Consider the following 27904-nt stretch of genomic DNA (forward strand, 5'->3'; position numbering starts at 1 on the left):
GTGACTAGTCTAGGGGTAAGCGTATATAATCCTGCTCTCACTATTGAAATAAGAGTAGAATTCTCGGATAAAATACCTAGTGCTCAGTTGAATCCTAATTTCAGATAAATAACTTTTTGTTAGTATAAGTATGTTGTGATTATTATCCTAAACAGTATTATTGCTTAAGTGAAATTCAAATTTAACTGAGCATCTTGTATTTTTGTTTTCTAAATAGGTATCCCTAAACAAAATGAAAAAAATCTACTGGGAGCTTCTGGAAATATTTTTTTCTCCTTTACAAAAAAAGGGGAGCTTAATGCAAGTCAGGAGCCTTTTCCTCCCATTCTCTCCCTCCGTATCTGGGACATTGTTCTGAGGGACTCTAAGAATGTTTGTTGCTATGGCAGCCATTGCAACAATGAGGGAAAAACCAAGAGAATGCCAGAGATTCAAACCCAGTGTTCTAATACTTTTGAGCTACTGAATCTGATCCAGGACAGCTTACCTTTGGACACTGACTAGAAACCTGTATTCCTTAAGTGCCTAAGGTTAGGTTAACTATTATTTGCCACTGATGGCATCTTAAATGTTACAGACAGTTTATGATCTGGTCTCTATTTACATCTTAGTCCTACTTTTACCACCACCAACTGTGGGAATGTATCTTCCAGTCTTTTCAAATTATTTGTAATCCCTGAACAATGTCCTTTTACTCGAACTTTTACAAAAGATGTTCCCCTCTCCTAAAACATATCTTGATCCTCTGATAATCTGTCTTTAAAATTAGTCATCATTTAAAATTATGATCAAAGGGTAATATTTCATTACCCTTTTTGAAATATTGTTTTAACAAATTAATATTTTTTATTAAACTATTGACTAATTCCATTCATATTTGGTTTGGCAGGTACAATGTGTTAGGTGCTTCGTATAACATGTGGTAAATATGAATAGTGCTCTTGCCCTTAGTAAGCTTGCAATCTAAAGGAGTGCCCAGACCACAAACAAATAATTATGCTGGAATTTAAGTTCAACTGTGAAACATGTTAAAACAGAAAAGTATAGGAGGATATAAGAGAATAAACTAAGGTTAACTTCAAAGGGATTAAGAGGGTAAAACAAAGTTTCTCTGGAGAAGGAATATGTATACTAACATGTTAAGGGTCATTGGGAGTTAGCCAAAGGTGGAGTTGAAGAAAGAGAATTTCAGAGAGAGGACATATTATGTATAAAGGTCTTACAGGAGGAGGAGAAGATAGTTGCTTTCAATGCAATAGTGAAGGCCAGCATGTTAGGAGCCTGAAAATTGAGAGATGAAGATTGGTTTGCAGAAGAGCAGCCCCCAAAAGATGCCTATGCTCTAATCTCCAGCATCTGTGGCCATGCTAACTTTTTGGCAAAGAAACACCGTGCATGTGATTAAGTGAAGGTCAATGTTGGAATGAGGAGGTTATCCTGGACTATTCAAGCAGGCCCTATGGAATCACAGAGTCCTTATACAAGGCAGAAGAGGCAGAGCCAGAGAAGATGTGACACTGGAAGCAGATATCGGAAAGACATGATTACTGACTAAATGCCACATAGCAAGAAATATGGGGCCTCTAGAAACCGAAAAAGGCATGGTAATGAATTCTCCTCTAGAGCCTCCAGAAAGAACACAGCCCTTCCAATCTTGATTTTGGCTTTGAGTACCATTTCAGACGTCTGGGTTCTAGAGCTGTAAGTTAACAAATTTGTGTTAAGGCACTAGATTTCTGGTTATTTTTATAACAGTGATAGGAAACTAATAAGCACGGTTATGAGATAAGGATACAGTGTGGGAAGAGTAATAAGGATGTGGACCTATCCATAGAGCCCAAGGAATCCTTTGACAGGTTTGAAGCGGGGATGACCATAATGAGAAGTCTTATTAAAAAAGGCACTTTGGAGGCTGGACACAGTGGGTCACACCTGTAACCCCAGTGATTTGGGAGGCCAAGGCAGGGGAATCACTTGAGGCCAACAGTTCAAGACCAGTCTGGGCAACGTAGCAAGACTCCTTCTCTACAAGACATTTAAAAATTAACTGGGGATGGTGTCTTATGCTTATAATCCCAGTTACTCAGAAGGCTGAGGTGAGAGGATCACTTGAGCCTGGGAGGTCGAAGCTGTTGTGAGCTAGGATTGCACCACTGTACTCCAACCTGGATGACAGAGCAAGACCCTGTCTCCCTCCCCCGATAAAAAAGAAATTCTAGAATGGATATAACATGTAGTAGAAGAGCATAAGAGTGGATGACTGGATCCTGAGAAACCCCTTACAAAGGCATCAAGGTGGTCCATGCCAGAAGTGATGGTAACTTGGTGTGGCAGTGGTGATATAGAGAGGTGATTACAGTTGAGAGCTCTTTTAGGGCTATAATTAACTGAATTTGAAAACCTAATATGGAGAGTAATGGAGAAGGAGGTGTTATGTCTGGTTTTCAGTTTTCTGGCTTAAGGAAATAGGTGAATGGAAAAAGAAAAGAAGAAAGATAAAAATATGGAAGGAGTTTGGAGAACTAATAAATAAAAGGTGGCTAGACTTGCTACTTTTGGAAAGAGAGAAAGGTATTCAGAGCAAGGTCTGGATGAGAGGCTTAGTGGAGATGGTGAGATGAACTTTCTTAATTTGGACAGAAATGTGAGACAGTCTCAGAAAAAAATGTTCAACAGGAACCTAGATAAATGGGTCTGGATGTTAGAAGATGCATCAAGTCTGAAGCATAGGTTTGAAATATCTTGGAAAATGGATGGCATTTGAAACCATGGAAGTAGGTGGCACCACCTAAGTGGGAAATATAGAGTGAGAAGAAAAGAATCCCCAAATTGAGGAAACCAAAATTCATTTATTTTATTTTATTCACTTGTTTTTGAGATGGAGCCTCACTCTGTCACCCAGGCTGGAGTGTAATGGCGCGATCTTGGCTCAGCGCAACCTCTGCCTCTGGGTTTCAAGCAATTTTCATGCCTCAGCCACCCAAGTAGCTGGGATTACAGGTGCTCCTCACCACACCCAACTAATTTTTGTATTTTCAGTAGAGACAGGGTTTCACCATGTTGCCCAGGCTGGTCTCGAACTCCTGACCTCAAGTGATCCATCTGCCTCGGCCTCCCAAAGTGCTGGGATTACAGGCATGAGCCATCATGCCCGGCCTTGAGGACACCAAAATTTAAGCTCGTGTAGAACTGGGGTAGGTGCATTGTAGCCCGTCGGCCAAATCCAGACTGCTGCCTAGTTTAGACGTAAAGATTTACTGGAAAACAGCATCATTCATCTGTTTACGTATTATCTATGGCTGCTTTTGCCCTACAATGGAAGAATTGAGTAGTTCCCACAGAAATCTTATGGTGCACAAAGCTTAAAATATTTACTATCTGACTTTTTAAAGAAAAATTTGTTGACTACTGATATAGATGAGGAATAAACAGAAAATTTAAGAATGCTCAGATAATAAAATAAAACTCTGCTATTTTACTGGTCTTTATTTTAGAATTACTCATTTCTCATTCCATTATTCTAAAAGCACTTTTTAGATATGAATATTATTGGTCACTTTATTCTAATTATTTTATTACATGTCTCTTTTCAATTGATCATGAGCTTCTTAGGGCAGAGCTTCCACTTTGTTTCCATGTGCATCCACAGCAAGGGTCCCCAACTGGTCCGTGGCCTGTTAGGATCTGGACTGCACATCAGGAAGTGAGCCACAGTTGAACAAGTAAAGGCTGTATTTACAGCCACTCTCCATTGCTCATATTACCACCTGAGCGCTGCCTCCTGTTAGATCAGCCAGCAGTGACACTAGACTCATAGTGGAGCTGCCTGCCAGTCCCAGTGCAGGATCCACTGGGTGAAGCCAGCTGGGCTCCTGAGTCTGGTGGGGATGTGGAGAACCTTTATGTCTAGCCCAGGGATTGTAAATACACCAATCGGCACTCTGTATCTAGCTCAAGGTTTGTAAACACACCAATCAGCACCCTGGGTCTAGCTCAGGGTTTGTGAATGCACCAATCGACACTCTGTATCTGGCTACTCTGGTGGGGCCTTGGAGAACCTATATGTCTAGCTCAGGGATTGTAAATACACCAATCGGCACTCTGTATCTAGCTCAAGGTTTGTAAATACACCAATCAGCACCCTATGTCTAGCTCAGGGTTTGTGAATGCACCAATCGACACTCTGTATCTAGCTACTCTGGTGGGGCCTTGGAGAACCTTTGTGTTGACACTCTGTATCCAGCTAATCTGGTGGGGACGTGAAGAACCTTTGTGTCTAGCTCAGGGATTGTAAACGCACCAATCAGTGCCCTGTCAAAACAGACCACTCGGCTCTACCAATCAGCAGGATGTGGGTGGGGCCAGATAAAAGAATAAAAGCAGGCTGCCCCAGCCAGCAGTGGCAACCTGCTCGGGTCCCGTTCCACACTGTGGAAGCTTTGTTCTTTCGCTCTTTGCAATAAATCTTGCTACTGCTCACTCTTTGGGTCCACACTGCTTTTATGAGCTGTAACACTCACCGCGAAGGTCTGCAGCTTCACTCCTGAAGCAAGCGAGACCACGAGCCCACCAGGAGGAACGAACAACTCCAGATGCACTGCCTTAAGAGCTGTAACACTCACGGCGAAGGTCTGCAGCTTCACTCCTCAGCCAGCGAGACCACAAACCCACCAGAAGGAAGAAACTCCAAACACATCAGAACATCAGAAGGAACAAACTCCAGACACGCCACCTTCAGAGCTGTAACACTCACCATGAGGGTCTGCAGCTTCATTCTTGAAGTCAGTGAGACCAAGAACCCACCAATTCTGGACACAATAGGAGCAAAAATCCTATTGTGAACTGTGCCTGTGAGGGATCTGGGTTGCATGCTTCTTATGAGAATCTAATGCCTGATGATCTGTGACTGTCTCCCATCACCCCTAGATGGGACTGTCTGGTTGCAGGAAAATAAGCTCAGGGTTCCCACTGATTCCATATTATGATGAGCTGTATAACTCTATCATTATATATTACAATGTAATAATAATAGAAATAAAGTGCAAAATAGATGCAATGTAATGTGCTTGAATCATCCTGAAACCATCCCCTGCCCCCAGTCCATGGAAATATTGTCTTCTATGAAACAGATCCCTGGTGCCAAGACACTTGGGGACCTCTGATCCACAGGACCTAACGGCACCCACAGCACATGGTAAGTGCTTTGCTTATTGAGTGAATTCACAGAGTAAGGTCAGTCAGTCCATTATTTATTCAAGGATTTTTGGAAAGTTGAAAAAAGCATGGCTTGACTAATGACAGAATAAAATTTAATAGGACTCATATACAGTTCTGGTAAAATAAGATAAAGTTTTCAGCCACTACTAAGAGATTTTTATTTTTTTTAATAATAAAAAAAGAAGATTACACAGACATCCCCCATTATTATGTGTTTGTTTCTCTCTTGAAAGTCTGCCTTCTGGCAAGAAGAATTCAAGCTTTTGGAAAGCTTTCAAACCCTGAAGGGAGGATTTGGACATTTTTCACAGGAAAACAATTTTTGGAGAAAACAATTTTTCATAGGAGAAACAATTTTGGAGAAAGATTTTTTAAGGTGAAAAATCATGCAGAAGTAGAATAATATTTTGCATGTTATATTTATAATTAATATTTTTATCAGAAAATGTGTAAATCTGGAACTCAAAATATAACCATGTGTGAATTAGGATTCAGCAGAAGTAACTTGTCCTGCTTAAAATTTGAAATGACACATATATTTATGTTTTATATAGGTGTATCTAGTTGAAGTCAACATGTAACAGATATATTTGGAAATTATTTACTTTCTATATTTTTCTCCCCTTTAAAAAAAAGAAACCCCTTAATCTTAGAATTTGCTTAGTGAACTTTCTACTGCCTTAAAAGTGAGATTAGATGCGTTAAATTTGGAATTGCATGCAACTTTTTATAAGCATGGCTGTTGCAAATAGAATGGTCCAGTCATGATATATATTTCTGGATATAAATAAGACATGCTTCCCTGACAATCAATATTTCCATATTGGAAATTATTTCTCCAGGACTGACTTTATGTGAGTTACTTCAAGACTCCTTCACTAAGTAGTAAGTCTGGATTAAATCGTCTGTCCCTCAGCCTCTAACTACTCTTCATAAGGTCCCATTGTATCCTGTGCTTCTGCTTCTCATTGCATTTCTACCTAACTACATTGTCTGTTTGTAACTCTGTTGGCATTTGTTATTTGCATTTCCATGCAACTGTCCCATAACATCATCAAGCCCTCATTGGCATGCATCAGTAAATGTTTATTTTCTTCTCAATTTTTGACTGGGTTCATCCAATCTGTGCCGGCTCACTCATGTGCCTGTGGTCAGCTACAGGTATGCTAGGAGCTCTGCTGTTCCTGGCAGGCAATCCCAGGCATGTTGTCATGTCTATGGCAGAAAAATGAGGAAGAACAAACCCACTCAGCCAAGTACTTTAAGACTTTACTTCGCCAGGCACGGTGGCTCACGCCTGTAATCCCAGCACTTTGGGAGGCCAAGGTGGGCGGATCACGAGGTCAGGAGATTGAGACCATCGTGGCAAACACGACGAAACCCCGCCTCTACTAAAAATACAAAAAAATTAGCCAGTCGTGGTGGCGGGTGCCTGTAGTCCCAGCTACTTAGGAGGCTGAATCAGCAGAATGGTGTCAACCCGGGAGGCGGAGCTTGCAGTGAGCGGAGATCGCGCCACTGCACTCCAGCCTGGGCAACAGAGCAAGACTCGGTCTCAAAAAAAAAAAAAAAAAAAAAAAAAAAAAAAAAAAAAAAAAATTCAATTGCATACATTTTAAAAGACTCTTTAGCCAAAGCTAATCACACGGCTGGATCCAGAGTCAAGGATTGGGCGGTTTCCACCTCCGAGAATGGGAGGGAACTGCAGGGTCACTTGAAAAAAGGCAAAGATGCAGACCGGGTGAATAATTAGAACTATTAATACAATCCTTCAACGACAAGATTCTATAATGATGAGGTCTTCAATGGCAGAGAATGTATTTAAGCTTCAAATTTCAACTGTCTTACGGGCTATGCAGCTGTGGAAGAGTGCTTTAAACTCCTTTGTACCTTGGTTTCCTCATTTATAAGCTGAAGATCATATTATACACACCAGGAAATCTCTGGTAATCTCTGTAAGGCTGAAATGAGTTATTACATGTAAAAGTGCTCAGAATAGTACATGGCACAGGGCAAATGCTTAATAAATTTAGTATTAGTAGTATTTTGGCTTAGTGTTGAGGTTCAAGAATTGGATTTGAAATTAAGTTATGGTTGACATATTGGGAGAGTTGGAGTGTGTATCAGGATAAAGCTCATGCTAAAAATTCTAATTCTACCAATTCCTAATTTTAGTAGCAAAGCATAATAAAAGATTAAATCCTGCTCATAGAAGCATCCTGTGCAATTTTTAGTAGCCAAGCATAATAAAAGATTAAATCATGCTCATAGAAGCATCCTGTGCAGGTGCTTTTGATTCAGGGACCCTTTCCTCCATGCATTTACCTTAGTGCTTAGCCTAAGTAAATGCTCGGTGAAAACTGATTTTAGACTGTACAAAAGGTAATATTTCCATGTAACATCTACATAGTCTTGCAGACAATGTTGATACAGTGGATGTTATAATGGGGTATACAGATCCTGATTCAGAAATAAAGAACTTCATAAACCAGGTACCGGGAGAACTTCCAGCAGATAACCCTGAATTATCAGCCTCCCGTAAGGACTGTCTCACTTGAAGAGGGCTATTTGCTCCAGGCTACAGCCTTTCTGGGGTGGCCAGTGTTCAATGACTGGTTGAAACAGGGGTGTAAAGACCCGGCCTTCTTACTCCAACACAGGACAGCCCTGAAGGGTGGTCCCATCTGCAGAACTCCCCACAGAGCTGGGTGAGGTGTCCCTTGAGACTGAAACTGAATCTTTCCTTGACCTCTCTCTCTTCAATTCTGCATCTTTCCCGTATCTTCCACAGATGCTGACTCCAAGGGGACTCCCTAATAACCTTTCCTCATGCAGATCTCCATGTGAGTCAACTTCCTGAAGAATCCCACCTGTGACAGGTTGTAAGAAAATGAACTGAACTATTTTAAGTAAGACTTTGTGAAGCTACGTGTGCCTTGGGCAACAAGTTTCAGGCAAAAGCATTTTTTTTTTCTATTCTACAATAGTCACCCATTATAGAAAAAAAATCTTGCAATAGCTTTGAGATATTACACCTTTTTATGGTAGGGTTTGATCTTGGCTCCTTTTTCCCTTATAGAAAATCATGGACAATACCTTGCCACTTTTCCAATACGCTCTAAATTCTCAATAGTTGGAGACTTCGTTTTTTCCATCTTGGAAACCACATATTTTATAAAGCCTTGTACACAGCGGATGTGTGATGAATAAGTTGGTGACTGACTGTATTAGTGAAGTAATGAACAAATGAATATAAGAGTCTAGCTCATGAAGCATTTTTTTTTACCCTGAATGAATTTTTCAAGGTATACAATTATGCAAAGACAATGAAATTAAAATACTAAAATAATAACAGTCTGGAGGCTCTCCTGCACAAAAGAAATCTTTAGCTATTGGAAGGTAGCACAGTTTTAGAAAAGGAATTATAAAAAAGGAGAATTGGCAGCAACGCTGGACTTCTGAAAGAAAGATCATGTAATATACAAGAACTTAAGCAAGCAATTATGCCACGTCGCAAAAGGCTGTTTTGATGTGCTACTTGAGAGTGCTATTTCATGTTGACCTTTGCGTTAGAAGATGTGGCTGCCTACAGCCGTGCATTTAAAGATGATGAATGTTAAGTGGAAAGGCCAGTGAAATGGTGAGTAGTTCCTACAGGGCTTGTCTTTGGACTTCCATTGCTGGGTGCTGTTACCTTAGTTTGGATTGAGAGAGAGCCGCTGGTATTGTGTGGCTTCCAAAAACCCTGGCAAATATCAGCCATGTTCATTCTCCACCAGGAAATCAGTATCATAGTTTGAAACTAAAAATTCAACCAATTATTTATACTAATTAGAGTCCTTAGATGCCGAATCACCTGCAGAATGAAGTTGAAACTTTTTAGGATGGTGTAAGATACATCACAATTTGACCCATTTCTAGTTTATTGCCTTCCACCTCAACTCCTCCCACTTTAGGCTCCAATGATACAAAATCTTTTACATTTTCTATTTGTTTCCACTTGGCCAAAATTGATTCCCCTTTCTTCTGGTAAGTTTTCCTAATTCACCTAGTTTTCCTTTGGGTAGTTGATCCATTCATCGCCCATTTTATGTGCTTTCCTGGAGATTGTCAATTGCAATACCTTGCCTGCCATCCACCAAGATAAGTGTGGGACATGAGTAGGCCACACGGTACAATTTGAGGTGGGCAGATGAAGGCCAGTGGAGGTTGTTTGTGAAAACTGGTACATGGTTGTTGAGAAACAGAGAATCTGTCTTTTTCCTAGCTCGTCAACCATTAGGATGTAGGCATAGAATTATAAACCCTAATTTCCACCAGCTGAAGTGATTCTGCCTGAGAACAAAGTTAAAACACCAAGAGAAAAGCTGAGGAAGAGTGGAGAGGGAGTGGGGAAAAATAAGAACCAAGGAAGAGAGGGGAGGTAGGTATGGAAGTAGGGGGAGAGTGGGGAAGTCCCTCACAACATTGCATGAGCCCCTGGATTTCACCATGCCTAAAGTGAGATTCTCCTTCAGATATGCCTTAAAATAATTCAATAAATCATCCTGTGACCTTAATGTGGTTAAGTATTATTTTTGCCACTACAACCTGAATAAGGCCTAATATTTTCTACAATATTATCTCAAAAAAATTGTACAATCGACTTGGTCTGCTTAGAATGTTTTCTAGTCTTTGACTATTTGGCTAATATGTATCCTTTCTTTAAAACCCAAGTTATAAGGCTTTGGGTATATACCCAGTAATGGGAGTGCAGGGTCAAATGGTATTTCTGGTTCTAGATCCCTGAGGAATCGCCACACTGTCTTCCACAATGGTTGAACTAATTTACACTCCCACCAACAGTGTAAAAGCGTTCCTATTTCTCTACATCCTCTCCAGCACATGTTGTTTCCTGACTTTTTAATTATCACCATTCTAACTGGTGTGAGATGGTATCTCATTGTGGTTTTGATTTGCATTTCTCTAATGACCAGTGATGATGAGTTTTTTTCCCTATGTTTGTTGGCCGCATAAATGTTTTCTTTTGAGAAGTGTCTGTTCATATACTTTGCTCACTTTTTGACGGGGTTATTTTTTTTCTTGTAAATTTGTTTAAATTCTTTGTAGATTCTGGATATTAGCCCTTCATCAGATGGATAGATTGCAAAAATTTTCTCTCATTCTGTAGGTTGCCTGTATAAATCATTCTGCTATAAAGACACATGCAAACATATGTTTACTGTAGCACTGTTCACAATAGCAAAGACTTGGAACCAACCCAAATGCCCATCAATGATAGACTGGATACAGAAAATATGGCACATATACACCATAGAATACTATGCAGCCATAAAAAAGGATGCATCATGTCCTTTGCAGGGACATGGATGAAGTTGGACCACCATTCTCAGCAAACTAACACAAGAACAGAAAACCAAACACCACATATTCTCACTCATAAGTGGGAGTTGAACAATGATAACACATGGACACAGGGAGGGGAACATCACACACTGGGTCCTGTCTGGGGGTGGGAGAATAGGGGAGGGATAGCATTAGAATAAATACCTAATGTCGATGATGGGTTGATGGGTGCAGCAAATCACCACGGCACGTGTATACCTATGTAACAAACCTGCACATTCTGCACATGTGTCCCAGAACTTAAAGTACTAAAAAAAAAAAAAAAAAAAAAAAAACCCCAAGTTAAATGTCAACATGTCTAAGAAAGCTGTTTCTTTCCCTTCCTTACCACCATTTATGCCAGGATTGCATCATTCCTTCCTTAGAGCTACCTGTATCTCATGATTACTATTTTACAGGCCACATTAGTTGGTGATATATTTGCAGATGTGTCAGCTTATCCTATTTCATTAAAAGAGCTTTTCAAGTAAGGGTTTGACATTCTTCCATCCTATCAGTTTTTTTTATTTTTACAGTGTGGCTGAAATAAAGTGTTCACTAAATGCTCACTGATTTAAAATTTGGATTCTATTAAGTTGTGCATTATTTATATTTTATTAGTTACCTAAGATGGGCAAAGGTACATGCTAAGCATTATGTGTATATCATGAAAATAAGTTTTTGGTTATGAGTACTGCTATTTTATCCACTTAAAAATAATAATACTGAGAGCCAGAGGGTTAAGGTCACACAGATAGAAGATGGCAGAATCAGGACTCAAACTCAATGTGTCTGATGCCAGATCCTGGCTCTTAATATGCTACTGTGTATTTTGTATGAGCAGGAGCTCTCAAGATTAATTGAGGGCAACTAGCACACAGGCAAACTACCTCACTAATAACAAGTGACACGTGCTTTGCTGGCCCAGGAAAGAGAGTGACTCTCTGTCAGAGTTTGTGGAGGTATACTTATTTTCTATTGCTTCATAGTAGATTATCACAAATGTAGCAGCTTAAATCCACACCATTTATTATCTTACAGTTCTACGGGTCAGAGGTCTAGGCAGATCTCAACTGTGTTCTCTGCTCAGGAGTAGGCACTCAAGGTGTTATATGGGCCACATTCTATCTGGAGGTCCTGGGGAAGAGCTTGTTTACCAGCTCATTCTGTCATTGGAAGAATACAGTTCCTTGCAGCTGTACGACTGAGGTCCGTGTCTTCTTGCTAACTTTTGGTTGAAAGTCACCATCAGTTCCTAGGGGCCACCCATCTTTTCCTACCATACAGACCCCACCATCATCACAGCCAGCAATGGAGAATCTCCTTTTTGTCCAATTCTTCTCACATTTCAAATATCTTTCCAGGAAGATTCTAATATATCTTCGAAGGGCTCGCCTGATTAGGTTAAGTTCACCAAGGATAACTGCCTTCTCTTGAGGGAGAATCTGGGACCTTAATGACATCTGCAAAATTTCTTTGCAGCAGCACCTGTGTTAGTACCTGATTGAATAACTGGGAGAAAGTGAATATACACCAAAAACCAGGAATCTTGGGGACCATCTTACTAGTCTGCCTCTGTGGGGCAATATATTCATTTTATGAGAATCAAATTTCTATTTACCTATTGAAATCTTTCTTCCCAGGCATCTCTCCTGTGCCTCATTATCCCTCCCTGACAGGAGCTACAATTTCTCTTAATGCTGGGTGGAGGGATCCAGATGTTGCAAATGCAAAGCTTTCCTGCCATCAGAGTCTGCCGTCAGACAATACCAGAAATCAGTGTTTCCTTCTGAGAGGTAGACAAGAGTACATAAAGAAGTGACCAGATTTTGATGGTCTGAAATACTGTTCACAAATATAATAAGTGAAGGAAATACGGGTGTCTAGCCTTGGGAAAAAAGGCTGAGTGGAGACATTAGGAGACATCTCTGAAAAATTGAAAGGCAAGAAAACCAATCACAGAAGCATTTGTTTCCTCACAAATGCATTCTGTTGGTGCATGGTCTTCTTCCCACAAGAAGGAACACGCCTCCTAAACTTATGAAAGCAAAATAGAAAGTGCTAAATTGTATTACATCACCTTTATTGCCATTCATCCTAGTATAGCTCTAGAACTGAGTTTTGCTCTTCACGAAGAATAGCTCTAATGGGTGTCTACTTCTCCCATTCACAAGAAGCAAGTCTTCGATCTATCATTAAAGAAAAATTCCAGGGATATTCCCAGCGTATTTATTTCATATGATATTTACAACATTAATAGGTAGCTCAAATAAAATGGAGCTTGTAAATGGTAATTAATAAATTTAATCACTTTGAACTATTACATCAGTTTCAGAGGCAAACCAGCTTCTGAGCTTCTCCATTATTTTCACTTATCCCTTTGGTCATTTTCACATTTATATAGCTTTGACGAGTTAAGTGATCTTGCATTTTTAACACAGCCACCGTGGCTTTTCTGACTCTTATTAAACTGAATGGTAGGCGACTTCAAAAATATACTGAAACCAACTTCATTTAGACGAGAATTGATTGTTTAAAAAATGCAGATCATACACAGCCACCTGGAAGAAAATACTCACACAGAAATTTCCAAGAAGAAACTAAAACCAATGAAAAATTGATGCTTTCCAATGAGGTAGGAATTCTAATTTAATGTGTATACCTAGATCTGATTCTCTTGGCATCACATGCTAATTTGGTTATATATTTGTTCAATCAATTTAGAGACACGGATAAATAAAAAGTCAGTTCATTTAATTTGTAAAAGATCAAAGCGATAGATCCTTAGCAGCAACATAACAATTCTACCTTGAACTAGTTACAGTTTCATGAATGAGCCAGATCCACATTTTTATTTGTTTGTTTTTAAGATACAAAGCAGAGAAGTAGAAATATCTTCTCTGGGAAGACTCAGGTAACACCCAAGAGACCCGTATCATGAGTTGGTATCTACCATGTTTGGAGAAAGAATAAATGTTTAACCTGAGTGTCTAGTTTTTCATTCCCCTATAAGCGTAGACTAAGATGAAGTTTCAAGTATAAGTTATTGATGTGGAAATTGAAGTAACCCCAGGTAGGTGAATGGAGATATAAGAAATAAAAGGAACATCAATTCAAGAAGAACATGATGCAACCACAAATAATGAACATTACATAACAAAAAGGACGTAAATTAAATTAGATAAATATCAATACAAACACAGTTATGAATGCACATGAGGAACAGCACGAGAAAATAAAAACACCTAATTAGTGAACAGGGATGTAGTGAAATGAGAGAATTGTTTCTTTGCACTAAATTTCTATTCACAACATACATAATAGTAAAAGTAAAAAAAACAAAAAACGGAAGAGAAAGCAACATTTCAGGGTGCACTGTCAGAGTAGCTTTGCCATTGACAACTGCAATGGTTAATATTGAGTGTCAATATAGTTGGAGTGAAGGATACAAAGTATTGTTCCTGGGTGTGTCTGTGAGGGTGTTGCCAATATATATTAACATTTGAGTCAGTGGACTGGGAGAGACAGACCCACCCTCAATCTGAGGGGGTACCATCTAATCAGCTGCCAGCACAGCTAGGATAAAAGCAGGCACAGGAACCTGGAAGGACCAGACTGGCTGAGTCCTCAGGCCTACATCTTTCTCCCATGCTGGATGCTTCCTGCCCTCAAACATTGGACTCCAAGTTCTTCAGCTTTTGGACTATTTGACCTACACCAACCAATGATTTGCCAGGGACTCATGGATCTTCGACCACAGACTGACGGCTGCACTGCTGGCTTCCCTACTTTTGAGGTTTGGGGACTCGGACTGGCTTCCTTGCTCCTCAGCTTGCAGACGGCCTATTGTGGGACTTTATCTTGTGATCATGTGAGTCAATACTCCTTAATAACGTCCCCTTTATATATACATCTATCTTATTAATTCTGCCCCTCTAGACAACACTAATACAACAATTAACTGCAGGTCAATTCCATTTGGTAAACTCTGGAAGCTTGTATAGAGCACACATCTCTATTCTATTTGAGGGTCAAGGAAACTGTGATATTTATAGATTAACTCACATTCAAGTATGGTTGAGGGCTGCCCCATGAGGTGTGAAGTGTTAACCTCCCATATGTTCCAGAAGCCGAAAGAAACACTCTGGAAAAAAAAATGCAAGGGTTTGAATTTGGAGATCAGGCAGGTGTTCTTGCTGAAGTGGTAAGGGAACTGTAATATAGCCAGGGTACCAAAAGCACAGCCAGAGAGTGAGTTCAACACAACATCTTTTTAGAGTGAAAATAATTATGTGCTTGGAAAATATGTCCAGGGTATTAACAGGAGACTTACCTAAGAACTCAGACTCAAAACAGGAAAGGAGAGAATTGTAACTGAAACCAGAATGGAGAACTGAAGGCTTTTGCCTATGGTCATCTGAATGTCTTTCTGAACATCTGAGCAAGTATAGCTGACATAGCAAAATAACAAAAGAAAAGGTAAATGGAACCATTTCACGCTTCAGTTTGATTCCCCTCTAATCAGGTCATTCCACATTCCTGGAATGTAAGACTTCCCAGTATCTGCTTTTGAATGACATACCCAAGAGTAAACTTTTTACCATCACTTTCCCAGATCTCATGCACACTCTGAATTTTTTTCTCTCTCCATGATCAAAACACACTCCACTTGCTCTTCTTACTGTCACAGAGTATTGTGGTTGCATGTCTATCTCTTTGTATCCTGGGACAGTGTGTGAGGTCCACAGTGGCTGGAATGTTTACATGCATCCTTCAGCCACACATTGCCTAGTACTCAGGCACTATGTGTCAGAATCTCCTTTGCTTTCCAGTGGGGCTAGAATACAGACAAGCTGAGCAACAGGTCTGCCAATGGCCCTCAGCCAAAGAATAGGGGTGAGTCCCACCTCATCTGAGGCCAGGGCATATTGAATGAATGGACAAATATTAAGCATATACCTATAAAACTCCAAAGGTAGAGCCATAGCCAGATGCTCAGATGAGGGTGATGTATTTTTCTATTCATTGAGCAAATATTATTGCAAGCCTTCTCTGATCTCATCAAGCACTGGCAATCTAGAGTGTAAAAAAAATCTTGAGGGAGACATTCAAATATAAAGTAAAATTTAAAAAAAGTAATAGAGACCACAATAAGAGTGAGTACCTGTAGAACAGAGTACATTACAAGCATCATAGGAGCTCTGAGTCTCTATGCACTTAGTGGCTGCTTCCACATTCTAGTCGAATGCAGTGAGCACTGTGCAGCTCTTCCTTGAGAAAGGTGAACCCCCACCCTAAACTTAAACATGTGCATAAGTATTGAGTATCAGAAACCTAATATTAGCCAAATATGGCCAAATATTCAAGTATAACTAATTATGTAACTAAATAAATATGGCTAAATATTCAAGTGCAACTAAACGTAACTAAATTATGCAAGCAAAAAAAAAATCAAAAAGTTTTTCCCCTATTCCTTCACTTCTCTACATACCCCCACCCTGCAACGAATTCTTTATCCTTTGTGTTTAGAGCTAGGTTCTGACATTATCATCTCAAAGATGGATAGCCTAACAAAATCCCAGTCTTTGAATAATGATTTTCTTTTGGAATAATTCTACTACTTATGTATTTTTCTGATCTATAACGTTTTATGTACCTGTGAGGAGATTCTAATTTCCCTGAAAAGTGAAATCTGGAAATCTGGATGGTCTGAGGTCTTTTTTTTTTTTTTTTGTTTGATTTTTTTTTTTTTTTCCCGAGACAGAGTCTCACTCTGTCACCCAGGCTGGAGTGCAGTGGTGTGATCATAGCTCACTGCAGTCTTGAACTCCTGGGCTCAAGCAATCCTACTCCAGCCTCCTGAGTAGCTGGGACTACAGGTGGCACAACTATGTGTGGATAATATATTTTTTTAATTATTATTTTTATTTTTTGCAGAGACAGTGTCTCACTATGTTTACCAGGCTGGTCTCAAACTCTTGGTTTCAAGGGATCCTCCTGCCTCAGCTTCCCAAAGTGCTGGGGATTATAGAAGCTCGTCCATCCTGTGGTCCTTTATCGACTTGGAATTGGCTCAGCTACAAGTGCTAAAGAAGCCAAAATAAACTGCTTTAAATGAGCTAATGTGCATCTCATGTTAAGCAGTTAAGGCTAACAGGATGGCTTCCTATTGTCAGGACTCACATTCCTTCTATCTTGTGGTCCCACCATCAGTTACTACCACTTTTCAGGCTGTTTCAAGTCCAACATGGCTGCTGGAGCACCAGCCACTAAGACCACATTTTAGTCAACATGAAGGTGAAAAGGACCAAGAACAGGTTTTCTAACTTTTATGCTACTTGCAAAAGATGTTTTTGCCACAACCACATACATCTCATTGGCAAAAACTTAGTCACAGAGTCAAATCTATCTGAAAAAAGGCTGAGAAATCTAGTCTATTTTTGTGGGTTACCATGTTCCCAGCTAAAATCTGTGTGTTCTATCCCTCAGGTAGAAGGAAACAATGGAGATTGTGAAAGCTTGCAGTCTTGATGCCATTTACATAACACAGAAGCACAATTTCCAGTTAAAAGATAACAGAGTAAAAGCATGTTACTCTACTGTTCTGTCTTGAACCAAATAGAGGAAGGAGGAATGCCAAATAACTCAGCATGCAACATGCCATAAAAAGAAAACAAATCACCAAGTAATAAATGGGTAAATGATGTAAACAGATACCTCAGCAAGGGAGGCATATGGAAGGCAAAAAAGTACATGAAAATATGTCCAACATATTTCCCTTAGTCATAAGGGAAGTGCCAACTAAAACCACACTGAGATACCACTAGAATGTATTAGAATGGCAAAACAGAACAAAAAGAAATAGAAACCTGACAGTACCTGGTGATGGCAATGATAAAGATCAATTAGAACTCTCACACATCGCTGATGCAAACGCAAAATGGAACTCCTTTGGAAGCTAGTTTGGCAGTTTCTTCTGATGTTAAACATACACTTTTCACGTAACCCAGTAATTACACTCCCAAATGGAATTTAAACAAAGTAAAAACTTAAATTTATATAAAAACTTGAACATGAATGTTTATAGAAGATTTATTCACAATCATCAAAAGCTCGACAAATTCAATGTCTCGCTTCTTGACAATGGATTAAAAAACTGTGGTATACACATGCAGTGAAATAAATGAAAGCGAATTACTGATATACATACAACTAAAAATAAATATCAAATTCACTGTGCTAGATTAAAGAAGCAGGCTTCAAAATGCTAGATAGTATATGGTTTGTGTTATATGACATTGTGAAAATGGTAAAACCATCGTAACAGAGACTAGATCAGTTATTGACAGCAGCTCTACATTGGGAGGGTTTAACAAGAAGGGAGGAATAAGCATTGGGTGTGTGTGTGTGTGTATGTGTGTGTGTGTATGTGTGTGATTGAACTGTTCCATATCTTGATTTTGGTGGTGATTACATTCCCACATGTGCTTGACACAACTCAGAACTGTAAACTACACTGGCTAAATCGTACTCTATGTGCATTATACATTAAGTTAAAATGTAAAGTAAAATAAAAGTGAGTCATCTTAGACACAAATCTTAGAGTAAAGGTGTCACAATAAAACCCAAAATCTCTTAACTGGTTAAGCGCATCATGCCAAAAATTTAGATTAAGAATATACTGACCCACTAAATTTTTATATTAAATAAAAACTATTCAGTGCAATAGTCATATTAAGAATATAGTTTTCTTCCTGTGTCCATGTGTTCTCATTGTCCAATTCCCACCTATGTGTGAGAAAATGCGGTATTTGGTTTTTTCTCCTTGCGATAGTTTGCTGAGAATGATGGTTTCCAGCTTTATCCACGTCCCTACAAAGGACATGAACTCATCATTTTTTATGGCTGCATAGTATTCCATGGTGTATATGTGCCACATTTTCTTAATCCAGTCTATCATTGTTGTGGGGTCGGGGGAAGGGTGAGGGATAGCATTTGGAGATATACCTAATGTTAAATGACGAGTTTCTGGGTTCAGCACACCAACATGGCACATGTTTACATATGTAACTAACCTGCATGTTGTGCACATGTATCCTAAAACTTAAAGTATAATAATAAAAAAAAAAAAGAATATAGTTTTCTTACGGAAACCATGGCATCAGTTGGTTAGGGGGTGGGAGGGAGTAGGAGGAGGAGAAGGAGAGAGAGAACACACTGGTGACAGATAAATCACTGAAATATAGCACAGCAAGAAATTTTTTCTTCAACAGAGAAATCCAGTAATGGTTACTGGAACATGGAACTTACTGGAATCAATCAAACACATAATAATCCCACTGATTTTTTAAAGAAACTTGAACTGTTAAAACTCATCCACCCTACCCTAAAAATTATTTTCAAAAAATTCTTAAGAGTCAACAATTCTTTGAGTGGGAAGTAAACAGTAAAAAATTAGTACAGTTCAAGGAGGATATATTCCCTTACACTCTCTTAGAATGTAGTAAAGAAGGATAGTGGGATGCAAAGACACACCAATAAGATGGAGTTAAGGAGCATGGAGTCCCATAGGTAAAGATCTTTCTAAAGGGTATAATCATAATATAATTAAGCAATAAGTTCATACCTAGGTAAAGGGAGCATGCAGTGTCTGACCAGTGGTATGTAAGAATTGCTAAGGACCAGTGAGAAGCTGTTCTCTCATTTTTATCTTTCTAAATGGGAGTATTTACCATAGTTACCCATGATGGTTAATTTATGTGTCAACTTGCCTGGGCTAAGGGATACCCAGATAGCTGACAAAACATTTCTGGTTGTTACTGTGATGCTATTTCTGGAAGAGATTAGCATTTAAATCAATACATTGATTAAGAAGATTGCCCTCACCAGTGAGGGTGGCCATCGTAAAATTCACTGAGGTCCTAAATAGAACAAATAGGTGGAGGAGGGGAAAACTGGTTTCCTGTTTGACCTCTGATACTCATTTTCTCTTGCTCTCAGACATTGGTGATCCTTGTTCTTGGGCAGTCAGGCTCATACCTGCCATCTACCACCTGAGGTAATCCCCACCAGCTTTCTGGGTTCCTCAGTTGGTAGGTGGCAGATCATATAACTTCTCTGCCTCAGTAATCATGTGGGCCAATTCCTCTCTCTCCTTCTCTCTCTTTCTCTCTCTCTCTCTCTCACACACACACACACACACACACACACATATGAACCTGACTTATGATGGTTCAACTTATAATTTTTCAACTTCATGAAGATATGAAAGCAATACCCATTCAATAGAAACTATACTTGAGCACTCATACAATAATTCTGTTCTTCACTTTTAGTATAATAGTCAATAGATTACATGAAGCATTAAATATTTTATTATATGTTAAACTTTGTGTTAGATGATTTTGCCCCACTGAAGGCTAATGTAAGTGTTCTGAGAATGTTTAGAAAAGGTTAACCTGAATAATGTTTAGTAGATTAGGTGTATTAAATGCATTTTGATTTATGATATTTTCAACTTACAATGAGTTATTAAGACTGAAACCAATTGGAAATAGACGAGTACCTATCCGTCTATCTATGTATCTATCTATCTATCTATCTATCTATCTATCTATCTATCTATCATCTATCTATCTATCTATCTATCTATCTATCTATCTATCTATCTATCTATCATCTATCTGATCTCTTATTGGTTCTATTTCTCTGGAGAACCATAACCAACATATTATTCTTTCTCTGTTCTTTATTAGATGTCTGTAAGTGACAATTAGGCTTCTTGTTCATAGCTGTCTAGACCGAGTGAAAGAAGTATGGACTTACAGTGAGTATTGTGCAGTATCTGGAGATTCCAGACTTTGAGCATAATGAGCTTCCTGGCTCAATCTTGGAACCTGAATTGCCTACCTTGGGAAAGCCATGACTATGTTCTACATGTTAGAAGAAGGGAGCAAAGGACTGTTTGATCAGGAGAGCAATCTTGGGCAGAGATATAATCAGAAAGACACATTCTATATACTTACCCATATTTTCTAACCTCTTCACAGTTAGGATCATGTGACTACATGTTATCAGTGGACTGTAAACAGTAGTGAGAATATAATTTTTTTGTTAAAAGTGTATAAGAGCTGTCTGCTTAATCATATGGCTATTTCTTCCTCTGTTGTGGAGACCTAGATGTTCTTGCATTCCAGTTGATGAAACTGCAAGGTAATGGAACATATATCAGCTTGGTTCCTAAGTGAATGGAGCAGAATTATCCCCCACCAATATCGACATGTAATGTAATATATATAACCTTGTTTTTATAGGCCAACGAAGCAATATATAGCTATTCTAAATAAAACATCTTGCAATCCCAAATATTATTATGTCTCAAAGTGGCATAATATTAGGAAATGAATTACAGTTTTTCTGAAAATACAGCTAGACGGAAGATGTATTCTGGCTGGAGAGGCATATTTTATTCAAAAGTTGTCTTGTATGCAGGACATCTCTGCTTTAAGGTAATTGAGTTGATTACCTCCTCATGGTTTTGGGGTTGCAATCATGACCTTGTACTTTGAAAACATTCTGACTGCTGTACTCCACTAGGATATTTCTGTTTACTGAACATCTTTGGATTTTCTTTCCTAGCACTGATTTTGTCACTTAACCATGTAACATCCTCTAAAGTTCAACTATATTCTGAAAATAAGCATGGTTTATCTTTGTTCTACTGCAATTATAAACTCTTTGAAAAGAGGAATCTTTTTATGACATAGTAGTTTATTTCAATTTAAACAGATGGAATTAAAGTGGAAATAATTATAAAGAAGATGGTGCTGTGTTGCTTTACAAAAATGAAATAAAAAGTGGCTCTTCAAGAATATATTCAACAACAATTTACTGGACACAAAACTTATATTATTCTTTGGGTGCAGGGACTGCTGTTCAATCTGCCCAGAGATTGTGAGCTCTTTCCTAAGTACATCTGGCTTTAGCTGTTAGATTTGAGATATATTTGCACCAATCAGTTTTCTGAAAAGAAAAACAAAGTCTTTTAGAAATCCCAGTGCTCACCATGTCAGACCTTTGACTTGATTTAATGTATTCAAGAATACAAAATTATCATCTGCTGTGTAAATATGCTAAGAATCCATGAGATTTTGTGACTCATAATTTGAGTTGATTAATCTCATGAGCTCTGAGTAAACAGACAGACTTTCCACTGAGAATATAAATTCATTTGGTAAGAATATAAATTAAAAAGACAACCAGTCAAAGGAGCCATGTTTACTTACAAAACCCAGTAGGTAGATAAAATAAACTATCATTAAATGTGCATTCATTATGTGTCAAAACTGTACTCACATCATAAAAAACAATCATTTATTTGTCAAAAAATCCTGCATAGTAAGTGCTATTGTTACATTTGAATCAACTTAACTAAGAGAAATGTGCCTACAATACAGTAGACTCTATTGAAGTTTGGACCATTATAGTCATGTGAGCCAATTCCTTCAAATCTATGTGTATATATGTTTATTCACTCTTTTGTTTCTGTTTCTCTAAAGAACCATGACTAATACAGATTTTTGTATTGAGAAGTGGGATACTGCTATAACAAATACCTAAAAATATGAAAGGGGCTTTGTAACTTTTTAATGGGAAGAAGGTGAAAGAGTTTTAAGATGTATGCTAGAAAAACATCTAGATTGTCTGGAAGAAATTGTGAAAAGGAATATGAACGTCAAAGGCGATTCTATTGAAATCTCAGATGGAAATGAAGAAAATGTATCAAAAGCTAGACACAAAGTGATTCTTGTTATAAGGTGACAAACAACTTGGCCAAATTGTATTCTAGTGTATTGTAGACAGTAGACATTATGACTGTTTGCCCATTTGCATTTCTATAAAGGAACCTAAGCCTGGGTAATTTGTAAAGAAAAGAGGTTTATTATCGGTCATGGTTCTGCAGGCTGTGCAGGAAACATGGCTCCAGCATATGCTCCTGGTGAGGTCTCAAAAAGCTTCCAATCATGGTGGAAGACAAGAGGGAGCAAGCATGTCACATGGTGAGAGAGGGAGCAAGGGTGGGGGAAATATCAGGCTTTTTTGAACAACCAGATCTTGCATGAACTAACAGTGAGAACTCACTTATTACCATGGGCAGGACCATGGTAATAAGGGTGATTGAGCCCCATGACTCAAATACCCTTCAGCAGACCCCACTTCTGACATTAAGGATTATATTTCAACATGAGATTTGGAACCACAATCAAACCACATCAGTGACAAACTTGGATATTTAGGTGAGGAGATTTCTAAGCAAAATGCTGAAGGCATGACTTGGTTTCTCTTTGCTGCTTATAGTAAAATGCAGGAGGAGTGAGATAAATTGAAAGTAAATCATTAAGAAGAAAAGAACCAAAATTTGGACATTTGGAAAACTCTCTCATCCCATACTTTTAAAAATGAACAAGTATGTTTGGGAGAGAATACCAAGGGTGTGGCTGGACAATTGCTCCATGAAACAATGACCGGTGTCACTCACAGGTCTAATTAGCCATTTCAGCAGAAGTCAAGGCTATAAATGAAGATAGCTTTACCAGAAGAAACACTGCTGGCCTGGGCTAATGGGAAAACAGATGGTAAAAATAAAGTAAGGATATAGGAGTTCTGGGATTCTATAGGATAAGACAATAGAGGTACTCAGCTGCAAAAAATAAATAAATAAATAAATAAATAAATAAAGTTATTCTTTAAGGAAATGGAAGATCATATGAAAATTCTACTTGTTTTGTTTTTTTTAAAAAATCTCCATACTCTTTTCCAAAATGGCTGCACTAATTTACATTTCTACAAACAGTGTCCAGGGTTTTCTTTTCTCCACATCCTCACCCACACTTGTTATCACTCCTCTTTTTGATAATAGTCATTCTAACAGGTGTGAAGTGATATCTTACTATGGTTTTAATTTACATTTCCCTGATAATTTAAAATGTTGAGCATTGTTTTAAATACCATATCTATTCATATCTCTTATTTTTTAATCAACAGAAAAAATTATATATGTTAATAATATACAACATGATATTTTGAAGTATATACACACTGTAGAATGGTGATTATCAGAGGCTAGGGTGGTTGGGGAGTGGAGTTTGGGAGATGTTGGTCATATATCTTCTTTTGAGAAGTTTCTACTCAGATCCTTTGCCAACTCTTAAATTGCATTATTTATTTTTTTGCTATTAAGTTTCCTGAGTTTCTCACATATTTTGGATATTAGCCTCATATCAAGGGATGGTCTGCCAATTTGTGGGTTGTGTCTTCATTCTGTTGTTTTCTTTTAGTGCAGAAGCTTTTTAACTTTCTGCAATCCCATTTGTTTATTTTTGCTTTTTTGGCTTGTGCTTTTAGAGACCTATCCAAGAAATAGCACATAATACTGTACAGTCTTACTTGTATGTGGAATCTAAAAAATATCAGTCTCAGAAACAGAAATTACCAGAGACCAAAGAGGGGCAATGGAGATGTTGATCAATGGGAAACAAGTTTCAGTTAGACTACAGGAATATGTTTTTTGTGATCTATTGCACTGCATGATGGTCACAGTTAATAATAATGCACTGTATATTTCAAAATTGTGGAAAAATAGATTTCTAGAGTTATCACTAAAAAATAATAAATCGGTGATGTAATATATATGTTAATTAGCTTTATCAAATCTTTCTATAACATATACATAGACCAAAACATCACATTATGCACTGCAAATATACACAATTATTTGCCAATTAATGAATGATCCCAAAGGTGGAGCTGTCTTTGCCTGAATCAGAGGGTGGGCCCATCTCAGTTTCTGCAGGCCAGGCTGCTGACACCTTGGGATAGAGTTTCTACCCAGGGTTATAGGGACAGGACTGTCACACAGGGTGAAGGGGGCAACAATGCCACACCTGTGAACCTGGAAGGTGAGGCTGCCTTCCTGATGCACCCAGAGGACAGAGCTACTAAGCCAAAAATCATTACTCTCAAGCATTAAAATCGAATGGATCTGCCCTGATGGGTTTTGGACTGGCTTGAAAATCATGATTCCCTTTATGACTTTTCCCTTTATAAATGGAAATGCTTCTCCTATGCCAGTCCAACCGTTGTCTTTTGGAAACAGACAACTAGACTGATTTCATAGGTTTACAGATGGAAACTTTGCCTCAGTATGAATAGCATCTCATCCACACTTTAGGTAATATTAATAGAGATTTTGGACTTAAGATTATTGCAATGGGTTAAGACTCTTGGACTGTTGGGATGAGGTTGAATGTATTATGCTTGTGAGAGGAACAGAAATATAGAGGTCTAGAGGGTGAAATGTAATGGCATAAATTGTGTTTCCCACAAAGGTAAATGTTGAAGTCCCAACCCCCAGTATCACAGAATGTAACTATATTTGAAGATAAGGTCTTTCAGGTGGTGATTATTAAGGTGGTACACTAATCCAAAAGGCCTGATGTCCTTATAAGAAAAGGGAGAGATATTAGAGATGCATGCATGCAGAGTAAAGGCCCTGTGAAGACACAGCAGGATGACAGCTTTCCTCAAGTCCAAGAGAATGACCTCGAGAGAAACCAAATTTGCCAAAACCTTGATCTTGGGTTTCTAGCCTTCAGAATTGTAATAAATTAATTTACGTTGTTTAAGATTCCATTGCAGCCCTGGCAAAACTAACACAATGCTGCTATTGTTATATTCAATAAATTTAATGAAGGGAAATGCTGCTAATACAATGTTGCTATTGTTGTTTTCAATAAATTTAATGAAGGGAAATGTGTGTAAAACATAATGTACCCATTAGAAGTACATGAGTCTATGAGTGTTTACAAACATATACATACATGAAACCTCCAGTACAATCAGATAGAAAACATTTCTGTCACCCAAAAATGTTTCTTTTTGCCTATTTGCAGTCAATCCCCTCCCCAAAGCAGGCCTCACACAACCATTGATCTGCTTTCTGTGACTAGAGATTGTTTTTATCTGTTCTACAATTTAATATCAATGGAATAATATACATTATTTAGTGTCTGGTTTCTTTCAGCTGGCAAGTAGTTGCGTAGATTTTCCAATGATTCTTATTGTGCCAACTGTTTGCTCTTTGCTTTTTGCCTCCTGTCCATCTGTCACATTCTACTATTAAAGATTTGTTTTATCTCCAGTTGGAGGCTGATATAGTTTGACTCTGTGTCCTCACCTAAATCTCATGTCAAATTGTAATCCCAGTGCTGAAGGAGGGGCCTGGTGTGAGGTGATTATATCATGGAGGCCGTTTCTAATGGTTTAGTACCATCCCCCTACTGGTGCCTCCTGATAGAGTTCTTCTGAGATCTAATTCTTGTAAAGTGTGTGGCACCTTCCCTTTCTCGCTCTTTCCGGCTGGGCATGTGAAGATATGCTTACTTCTCCTTTGCCTTCTGCCATGATTGTAAGTTTCCTGAGGCCCCCCAAGAAGCAGAATCCTGTACATTCTGTAGAACTGTGAGCCAATTAAAGCTCTTTTCTTCACAAATTACCCAGTCTCAGGTCTATCTTTATAGTAGTGTGAGAAGGGACTAATACAGAGCCCTTTGTGAATAAAGGGCTATCAGCATTCATGTACATGTTTTTGTATGGCTATCTATTTTCATTTTTCTTACATAACGTGTATATGTCCAATTTTTAGGTTTTATGGTATACCTATGTTTAGTTTTATAAGACACTGTTATACTGTTTTCCAAAGTGGATGTACCATTTTAGATTTTCATCAGTAAAATATGTTGATTGTTAACAATGTTCCACAGCCCAAACAAACACGTGGTATTCTAAGTCTTTTATATTCTAGCCATTCTAGCAGGTTTTCATGATATCCCATTGTGATTTAAATTTGTATTTCCTCAGTGAATAATGATGTTAAATATTCTGCTATGTGCTTACCATATTCTCATATTCTTCTTTAGTGAACTGACTATTCAAGTCTTTTGCCCATTTTAAAAGCTGGCTTGCTTGATTTTTTCCTACTGAGTTGCATGAGTTATTTACATATTCTAATGTAAGTTCTTTTTCAGATAAATTTAATAATGTGTTCTCCAATTGTGTGACTTGACTTTTCATTTTTAAAATTGGGATTTGTAAAGGAAGTTTTAAATTTTGCTGAAGACTATATATTTTTTGTTGTTGTTTTTACATTTATAATGTCTTTATTGAAATAACATTGTCATACAATAAAGTAAAAATATGTAAACAATTATTTGATAAGTTTTGGTACATGTATACACCTATAAAACCACTATTACATGTAGATAATGGACAAATCCATCACAGCCAAAAGTTTTCTTCTGCATATTGTCACATCTCTGCACATCCCCTTCCCCACTGCTAATCCTCTTCCCCAGGCAATCAGTAACCTGCTTCTGTCAGTTTAGATTAGTTTGCATTTTATGGAATTTTACATAAACAAAATCCCAAAATACGTACTCTTTTGGTGTGGCTTTTTTCACTTGAGAAATAAAAATAAAATCTTAAACCTCCCAATCAACTGAACGAATCCTAATCTCCATCTTGGCCAAGGGGAACCCAGAGAAACTTTAAAAACTGAGTTCCTGGCCATGACAGAATGGGAGGTTGGATACACCTCAGTATAACTCCTCTTTATTAATCTTTAACCCAAGTGCTTTCCTAAGGAGTAAACAGAAACCAGCTGTAAAAAACAAAAAATGTAAAGCACATTCCTTTGTCTCCTTAGGCCAATCATCTGAAGCCAGCAGCAGATGTGACAGCTCACCAGATTTACTGTGCATCTCTTCCTAAAAACTGACCATGATCACCAGACTAGTTTGGAGAGGACGCACAGAGAGGATTTTTGCATCCTTGGCATCACCTTTTGATGTCAGTGGGTTGAAAACTCTGCTCTTAGATCATGCTCACGCTGCCATTTTTAAATCATTTGACTCATGAAGAGGCACAAAGCTCAATTGCACATGTGCACATTTCTCCTTTTATAATTATGACTCCGCTTATAGATTATTAAATATGTATATTCAGCCACCCTATTCACCATAAATTCCGGTCTTACTCTTCCCTCACTCGAAGTGCTTGTTTCCAGATTCTGTCAGAGACTGTGCCTCCCTAGCCTGTCCGAATGGCCACTTTGCAGGGTACAACCCTTTAGAAAAAACAAAGTTCTCCTTTGCAAATTTTTTAACCTTGTGACTCTTCAGTCGACATACTTAATATAATTATTTTGAGAGATCCAAAATATAATTATGTATATCAATAATGTATT

The 27904-nt window shown here is 38.2% G+C and overlaps 1 long non-coding RNA gene across 1 annotated transcript; it reads left to right on the forward strand.

Moving 5' to 3' along the window:
- The first annotated feature begins 430 nt into the window (after positions 1 to 430).
- On the forward strand, positions 431 to 27536 carry LOC107986179 (uncharacterized). Its single transcript, XR_001741367.1, has 3 exons — positions 431 to 530; positions 8009 to 8857; positions 27365 to 27536. It is a non-coding gene; the product is annotated as an uncharacterized LOC107986179 (long non-coding RNA).
- The last annotated feature ends 368 nt before the right edge of the window (positions 27537 to 27904 follow it).

Source organism: Homo sapiens, chromosome 4, assembly GCF_000001405.40.
Source record: "Homo sapiens chromosome 4, GRCh38.p14 Primary Assembly".
NCBI classification, from domain to species: domain Eukaryota; kingdom Metazoa; phylum Chordata; class Mammalia; order Primates; family Hominidae; genus Homo; species Homo sapiens.